Raw genomic sequence first — 9,270 nt, forward strand, 5'->3', positions numbered from 1 at the left:
GCTTCTAGCTTTATTCCAGCTAGAATGTCAAAAGCTTTCATATGTTTCATGTCCATGTTACTTCAATTGGTTAAATTTACCAGAGATATTACTCTGCAGAATAATCCAAAATTACTTGAAACAAAGTATAAACTTTTCCTAATCTTCTTACTAAATTTCAGTTAAAATGTATTATATAAGGACAAACTTAATGACTTGTTTGGCTGGGCGCAGTGGCTCACGCCTGTAATCCCAGCACTTTGGGATCACTCAGGTGATCTGCTCACCTGAGGTCAGGAGTTTGAGACCAGCCTGGCAAATATGGTGAAATCCCGTCTCTACTAAAAATACAAAAAAATTATCCAGGCATGGTGGCACTTGCCTGTAATCCTAGTTGCTCTGGAGCCTGACGCGCAAGAATCGCCCGATTCCGGGAGGCGGAGGTTGCAGTGAGCTGATATTGCACCACTGCACTCCAGCCTGCGTGACAGAGTAAGACTCCGTCTCAAAAACAAACACACAAAAAAAGACTTGTTTAAAATCGAGAATGTCATGATTGATGAAAAGAACTGGTTATCAATATTTTTAAAAATTATTTAAGTAATATCTTAGGAACATCATTTATATTTAAAAATCAGTCTGGGTATAATTGAGACACAGCTTTTTAAACATAACATGCATTTATCTAGGGGCCTTTGTCAGAAATCAGAGCTTTTATTATGTTGGTCTAAAGTTAGTACATTTCTGGTAATGGAAAAAAGTGAACCAGTTTAATTCCCAATACCTAGACAGGTGGAAGCAAAGCTCTGCCAGATCCTGAAAGAGAGAAGCAAAGATATACTCTGAATGTATTTCCATCTATTCTATTTTGATAGAAAAATGGTTTACTATAACATTGGAATATTGGGAGAGGAGGGTTTAAGCTGGGAGGTTGATGGGATTCGGGGGAAGTATAAGAGGCACTCAGGAACCTGCCTAAGAATAAAAGGACTCCCTGGGGGTGGAGGTAGAGGGGTGGGGTTGGGGAGATCTGTTAGCTTTTATGTATTTCATGTTATTCTTAAGATGGATAAATGGGTCTGAATTTAGTCACTACTTTTTGAAAGTCAGTCCTCTTTTTTTTCCGAACATCCTGATCTTTCTAGCTCTTTCCATTCTTCTCTCTTACAGACCTTTATCTTTCAGTCTCCCAGACAGGACAGGTAGACAAGGTATTGCTGACTTTGAGAAATATGTACTATAACAAAGGGAAAGCAAAATGATGTCAAAGGCAATTAATTATTTAGGCCAGACTCAAAAATTCTTTGTGTTAATAAACCCATATAGTCCCTGTAGCCTATTTTCCATTCTAGTTTCTCCTTGTAGTTTCTTCATCTTTTATTGGACTTAGTGTATTTTACTAGTATATCATTGATGTCATGTTTGTTCTGTTTTGTCTGCCTGCATTGTAAAAGGAAAGTTTAAATTTTTTTTAAACACTTGTCATCTAACTGACAAATTGCATTTGCAGAAGTGACAATTTACTTTGTATATAAAAACGTAAAATTTATTTTGAGCATCATATAGCAGAACCAATCTTAATTTAACTCTCACAGATTTGTTTTTTTTCCATCTCTAAATTAGGATTCTAACATAAAATTGCCTGCTGGGTTTTGGAAGCTGTGAATTTAAAAACCAAAAGCTGAACCTTCAGAGTTTTGCATACAAAATGGGAAGCAGTGAAGGCTTAGAATAGTGACTGTTAAATAGTACTTTTTCCCCTCAAATGGTTTTCAGTTCCAAAGTCTTAACAGAATTGCTTTTACAGTTTTGACCTGCAGGTGCATATTAACAGTGGCCAACAGAAAATAAGATCAGAAATCTTATAAAACTTGACTGTATTTCAAACTAGAATGCTCGAAAAATGGAATTACCAAATTACCAAATCACCAAAATACAATGGGTTTTCATTGTAGCAAACCTTCTGACATCCAAACATGTCATAATCAGAATCAATAAAAATATATTAATGTTTTAGTATTGAATTAAAAACCCTGAATATTTTTGCAAAGCGTATTGGCAAATATTGGAAATATTTTTAATAGACCTCTAGTTTTACAAAACTAATTTTTCTTCTGATATTTCCTGTACGTTTTTTCACACCATAAATTAACTGTGTGAATTACTTTTTTAAAAGTTCCATGTACGTGGTGATGAGCAACTATTTTGTGTGAAACCATGTAAGCAAAAGAAATGTTTATAAGGTCTCTGATTGAAAATTTCAAAATAAAAGTAATTTATTGAGTCCTATGGAGGAAAAAATGTATAAACTTACGAAGTTAGATTATGCACTTACTAATTAGAAAAACATCACTGAGAATTGATGATTGTGGTGATATCACAAAGCATTGCCTTTTAGCCACTAAATTTTTACTTACTCTCTCGATGTGTTTGAGAAGAAGTAGCAACATACAGGTGGCTTTATAGTATCTTATTTTGAGATTGTGGGCTATGTCACAAAACTGGGGTACCGTTTTTGGTCCCTCTATCCATGTTATTTTGTCCCTCATATAGAGAATACATAGTAGTCTCATTCTCACCATTGGTCAGAATTATTGCCAGTTTCTGTGTTACAGTATGTAATTTATTACTGCTATTTTCCAGCAAAGAACCATTAATCACTTGGGTCTGTTAACTTTATTGCTAGAACTGTTAATTGGCCTTTTTTAAAAAAAATCAAGTTTCTGTTTTCAAAGAGGAGAGAATAAGAAAAGTGGCTCTAAGGTACTGATGGTGGAAGGTCAGCTCATGAGCTGGTTCTGCCTCTCTACCTTGACATACACATTTGTCTTGTACTTCTACAAAATTATGGTGAGAACCCTTGAGGTCACTTGTAATGGTCAAAACTAGTAATGATAAATCCATGAAAGTCATTAGTCTGCTCTCTTTTTTTCATGCAGGCAAATCCTATGTTTGAAATTAAAGCTATAATTGAAGATAATCCGTACAAAATGACTAATAATTTGGAAGGTTTTTTAAATTTTTGAGCACTCTAATTTTGTTAAAACTGTGAAACACCATAGTTATTGCTGTCTAGAGAATTGTCATGAGCTTATCTAAATGTTTATAATTGCAGTATTAAAGCACTGCCATTAAAACAAAGCCTATTATATATCCCCAGATTAAAAGTTATTCTACCTCGTGTTGAGGGATTTTTTAAACTATTGACATTTTCTTTTTTGCTCAAAAACATGCTTTCAAAATCTGCCATTATTTTGTTAATGATTTTGAGTCTGAAACCATTTAATATTGTGTTTATTAATGTTGGTGTTCTTTCACTTTGCTGTTAGGTCAAAATTATGAATGTGCATATAGCAACTTCCAGCAGGAAGGGTGGGTAAAGGTTTTAATACGTACAGTTTGTTCCAACTACCATCTTATTATGCTGTATTCAAACTTGAAAAAAAAAAAGATATTTTAAGATGGTAGGATGGTATTTTATGTCTTAGATGAAATAAATAACAAGATTACTCTATTACTTTCCTTTTCCCTTCAAGAAAGTTGATTGTTTATTGCATGAGGAAAAGGGAGCTTTCAGGGTCTTCGAAATACATTTTAGTAATGCTGCTTTTTCAGTTTTGCTTGCACATATTTTGTTTATTTTTGGGTCTGGCAATTTAAAAACAAAATCAAAAACAAATCATATCCATCCATTACTATCTTTGTGATTCAAGTGCTTGAAATTTCCAAGAGTATGTCTGTATAAGTCTTTATCTGTTTGGCCTCATTTTGGTATACTTGCAGACTTCATTTTGTTTTCTTTCTCTTAATTCTGTTAATTTATTTAATCTCATGGGAGAGAAAACATGATCATTCTTTTATATACTGTACTTCATTCTTTCATCCAGTTCATATTCTTAACTGCTTTGGATTCATATATTTGTTTTTATTGGTGTAGTCGCTGCAGTTTTACCTGCCATGGTGGTGCTCAGGTATAACATAGATGGAAACAAGTTATTTCTCCAGTAGAATTTCATTCTTTTTATTTCTGCTGTGTGTCAACTATATAATCTTAAATCTTTAAGAACTATGTTGTACTGTCAGAAATATCTTACTTTTACGTTTAAAAATGTATTTACAGTAATCCCCCCTTACCTGTGTTGGGTACATTCCAAAACCCCCAGTGGATGCCTGAAACTGTGTATACTACTGAACCTTATATATGCTATGTTTTTTCCTATGCATATATACATATGATAAAATTTAATTTATAAAATAGGCACGGTAAGAGATTAACAACTAATAATAAAAGAGAACAGTTATAACAGTATAATGCAATAAAAGTCATGTGAGGCCAGGTGCACTGGCTCACGCCTATAATACCAACACTTTGAGGGGCCAAGGCAGAAGACTCACTTGAGGCCAGGAGTTTGAGCCAGTCTGGGCAACACAGTGAGACCCCATCTCTACAAATGTATATTTTTTACATTAGCTAGGCGTGGTGGGACACACCTGTAGTTCTAACTATTCAGGAGACAGATGGGAAGATCACTTGAGCCCAGGAGTTCAAGGCTGCAGTGAGCCATGATTGCATCACTCACTCCACTGTGGGTGACAGAGTGAGACCCTGTCTCTTAAAAAAAAAAAAAAAAAAAAAAGTTATGTGATTGAGGCCTTTCTCTATCACAATATTGTACTGCACACACTTATTTTCAGACCACAGTTAACCACGGGTAAATGAAACCATGGAAAGTGAAATTGCGGGTAAGGGGGGACTACTGTACTGCTAACAAGTCAGGTAAACAATTTCTGTAAGTTTTAGCGTTGAAAAGTTAAGTGTTAGTAAAAGTTATTTTGTTGCTTTGAATGTATCTTACTGGAAAAAAAAAAAATCTTAACCAAGATGAAAATTACTTCATACCTCTGTGTCAGCAAACTGATTGCCTAATGGAAAGTTACTTTACATTTTATGTTTTAATAAAAATGTTTCAGGCATCACTTTCATGAATGTCTGAAAATGAAATTTGTTTTATAGCCATTCTGGTGTTGACTGAGTGACATAAAGTCTTTTTTTTTAGCCCTAAATTTTTATATATAAACATTGCTAGCTGGTTTAAACATCTGTTGATCAATTGTCCTTATCATATTTTCTCAACATTTTATATTTTGCATAATATGATTTCTTTTTAAAACGTTAGTTTAATTAAAACTTAAAGCACCTATTACAACTTTAAATTTTCCTACCATTTAAATTCATGGCATACTACACAAAAGTATTGAACATGCTTGAGAAATAATTTGATCCTCCTAATTCATTTGCGTGTTCTGAATAGTTCCTATCTTTTGCATGTCTATGGCTTGCTGCTTATGTTTAGAAGAATTGTAGTTTGTTGTACTTAGAAACTTCTTTTGGTTTTACATATTAAGCACAAATATGCTATTTAAATCAATTGCTATATTGACTTTATGTATTCTTGTTAGCAGCCAACAGTCGACACCATCTTTGGTCACAATGATACAACTCAATCTAATGAAATTTAACAGGATGCATTTTTAAATTTTTTTAATTTATTTTTTGCTTTAGTTTAGCTCTTCATGGTACAGGATATTATGGAAAAGAGAGCTTCATGTACATTTAATACTGAAAACATTATGTTTACTATTTATAAGTGTAAACCATAGTGTCCAATAAAATACACAGATAAACACACACACACACACGCACAATTTCTCTCACAATAATAAAATCCCTTAATAATTCACACCTTTAAAATATTTATACTCAAATATTTTGTCAATACTTTTCTATAGTCAGTTCATTATTTGTCTTCTTTATGGAAATTCCTAAGTAAAAATAGTGGCAAATTGGTCTTTTAACTAGAAAAATTACAAAATCCTCCTATCTAAAAAATGATACTACCTCCAGGACGTCTGCAATTTTGTAAATTTTTCTTCCTTAGTAGACAACATACTTCCTGGTAAAAGAAAGCCAAAAGATGGTAAACCTCTTTGAATTGGATTCTTCTTTGATCCCAACCCACTCTAAATTTTGGTAGCTAGACCTTTAACTTGAAACGATCAAATTAAAGACCCTTTCAAATATTATACATGCTGCCTTAATTATTATTTAGTTGTATCTCCAACATCTTTGGGGGAGCAGGAAGGAAGGGGGGGTAACAAAAACTTCATTGCTTCAGGTAGGTATAAGTATAGAGGTCAATCACATTTTTAGTTGTACATCAAAAATAACTAACATCCATTAAATTATAAAACTTCTCCAGCCCTATTCACTATTTAATTGGGTATGGAGTTATTCATTTGTATCACTCTTATCATTGCCTGTGTAGAATATACTTATTATTAATACTATTCTACTAATTTTTCTATTATTTCCAATTCTGAATTGATAATCCATGGCTTTTATTTCATTGCTTAACAATGTTTGTATCCTTTATTTAGCAAATAGTTTACACTGGCCTATTTTGTATCAGTCAAGATTTTTCTCAGGTAACAGCTTTATTATTATTTTTATTTTAATTAACAAAGGTAGGATTACATAAGAAAAGAAAACTAAAATTATGAAAAGGGACCTTAAAGCTAGTGTTTCTAATTTTATGGACATTGCCATATATAATCTAATCAAAGTGGAAGATTCGTTTTTGTTGTCTATTTTTGTACAAAATGATGCCACTGAACTCAGATGTCTTTGTTGACTTTGCTTTATTATATAGCCTGAATAAAAAGTAATGAAATGTAATTGGTATATAAATTAAACCTCAAATATGAAGGCTGTTAACGTAGGTGAGAAAAATGATATGTATGCATTTTCTTTTATTTGTAAGCATATTTTCTTTTAAAATTATTTCACAAATTACAAATGTTCCTACTAATAGGAAAGCCAAATATTATGCACTAGTGGTACTTACTGGAAATTTTAGAATTCATTTATTTATATTTACTACCTCTTGCATTTATGCTTTTCTTTCTCTAAATTTGTAAACTGTAAGCTGAATATATGTTGCTGAATCTATGCTATATGACAAAACATTTTTAATCGTTATATTTTTACTAATGCATCAAAGGGTTGGAATGATCCTCTTCGTGTAGTTTCATCTTTAGGCAGAACTATATTCTTTGGATTGAGGCTTTACTTGAAAGCCTATTTTTTTAATGTTCTAGAACTTTATTAGAAAAGTTTAAAAGAGCCCTCACAATTTAAAAAACTAATTTTATTGTTTTAAAATGTTTTAAGGGTTTATCCCTAAGAAATTAAACAAGCACAATCTATTACTTGCAATTTTTATTTCACAGCACATATTGCTAATAAATGCCATTTTAAAAGCAAAAGAAAATCTATCACAATCGTTGCAAGAGATATTTAATAAGGAAACTAATGTAAATCATGCTTCATGCTATCTGTCAGTTAAATCAAGATATAGGTGAAGATTTAGGTTTTATCATGTGAATATTGTGTGGTAGTGCACATTAATTTGTATTTAAATCTTTACATTGTTATCATTGCATGTGTTCACTGTATTTTTTAATGTGTCACTGTTTTCTCTTTATAGATTAGTATTTCAAAGTAACCATTCCATACCAATTCAAACTACCATCTGGTCCCTAAGCTTGTTATATGAAAATCTTTTATCATTGTCTTCCATTGTAAGTGTTTTATGATGAGCTACACCTGAGTTGTACATTTTCTTTTTCTTTTATTTGCTTCTGTATACAGGCTGGCTTAGCAGGAGCTCCAGCCCGTGCTGTATCAGCTGTAAAGAATATGAATCTTCCTGAGATCCCAAGAAATATTAACATTGGTGACATCAGTATAAAAGTGCCAAACCTGCCCTCTTTTAAATAAAAATGTAAAAAGGCCACTCCCAGGTAAAATCCAGGGGGAAGAGTCATCTAAGTTTACCATGCAGTTGTTTACCAAAAATAGAGGAGGAGAGTCTTAACTTTTGCTCTTGGATTTAAGTCAAGGTACTGTATAGAAGTTGTGTAAAATCAGTATGAAAGTTCAATGTTGCTGTTCTTGCTCAGTGATTTTAAAGAAATTGAGTAGTTCCTATGTGATTTTTTTTTTTCTTTTCTAAACTGCATTCCTGTGCCCACCTACGGCATGCCTCTATGTATTGGCTACTACAGTGTTTTAAAAAGTGTTTCAGATATTTCTCTAATTATGTACAACCTAAAATGTTGGTGTTTTGTATGGATCACAAGTGCAGCATTCCTTAATTCCTTCTGCTATATGTCACACAGTTGTTATTTGGAGAACCAAGTATGTATTGCATGAAAACATTATGACTTTTTTCTCTTAGTTTAAATAAACTCCAAGGTAACTGGACTTCTAAAGCACCTTTCTGTTTGCCTGATATCTACTTTAGCAATAATTTTTTTTACAACCCTCTGACTCAACAAAGTAAATAAAAGTATATTTTATCACTATTAAGCAGATGTTAATGTCGATTTATTTTTTACTCATATTTTTAATATTCAGAAACTCAGTAAATTATTCGGAAACTCAATTATTTCACAAATCAAGAGCAGTGTATCTTAGGCATATTGCGCAAGATGAGATCTGGAGTGGGGGGGCGACAGTCTTTCTAAAATGTATATTGAGAAAATGTAAAATCTTTTTTATACAAATAGCTTTAAGCCTTGCCTCTTGTTCCTTCTTGCCCAGATGGTAAAAAATAATTTCAGCCAATACCTAATTGATTTTGAATACAAAAACCCTTGGGACTCTACTTGTCTGTTTCATCCTAAAACAAAGTTAAACTAATGTTTTCTTAAGTCCTAACACTCACATATTCTAGTTTCTTATAATTGGCCCACATTTTATTTGGTCTTCCATGAACTGTGAGTGAGGTTACTTTTCCAGTTAGACTAAGGTTTTCCTTACAGTTCTAGTTCTCCTTCCTCAAATATTCTCTTTGAAATACTTCCATAGACTTGCAGCATGTATGAATTTTACTCCAAGAACCCTAAGATATAAGAAAAGTTACTTTATTTTTTTCTAAATAAAATTAATCTGTCTCTAAGCTCTCCAGCATGTTAGGGTAACAGGAAATTTAATCTGATTATTGGGATTTCCATCAGCTCAGAGATAAGAAAAAGTCCTAGAGAAAGGTTATGCAGAGTAGAGCATTTCAGGAGGTCCCTGGTCTTTAGTCATTTGACAGTGTTTATTAAGTGTTTACTGTGCGCTCCCAAGTCCCTGTCTTTTTTTTTTTTTTTTTTTTTTTTTTTTCCCAGAAGGAGTCTCGCTCTGTCGCCCAGGCTGGAGTGCAGTGCGCGATCTCGGCTCAC

The 9,270-nt window shown here is 32.7% G+C and overlaps 1 protein-coding gene across 15 annotated transcripts in view; it reads left to right on the forward strand.

Annotated features, from left to right (window-relative positions):
- AP3S1 (adaptor related protein complex 3 subunit sigma 1) overlaps positions 1-8,410 on the forward strand; it is a 72,147-nt gene extending 63,737 nt beyond the window's left edge. For 7 of the 15 annotated variants that reach the window (NR_157087.2, NM_001002924.3, XM_047416696.1 and 4 more), the window contains one exon: positions 7,691-8,410. Coding sequence is in view for 11 of the 15 variants with exons in the window: in NM_001002924.3 (NP_001002924.2) it covers positions 7,691-7,819 (129 nt within the window). In the remaining 4 variants the exon portion in view is untranslated. The other 8 variants (NR_157085.1, NR_157086.1, NM_001364122.1 and 5 more) reach the window with 6 other exon arrangements.
- Positions 8,411-9,270: the final 860 nt, after the last annotated feature.

Source organism: Homo sapiens, chromosome 5 (assembly GCF_000001405.40).
Source record: "Homo sapiens chromosome 5, GRCh38.p14 Primary Assembly".
Lineage (NCBI taxonomy): Eukaryota > Metazoa > Chordata > Mammalia > Primates > Hominidae > Homo > Homo sapiens.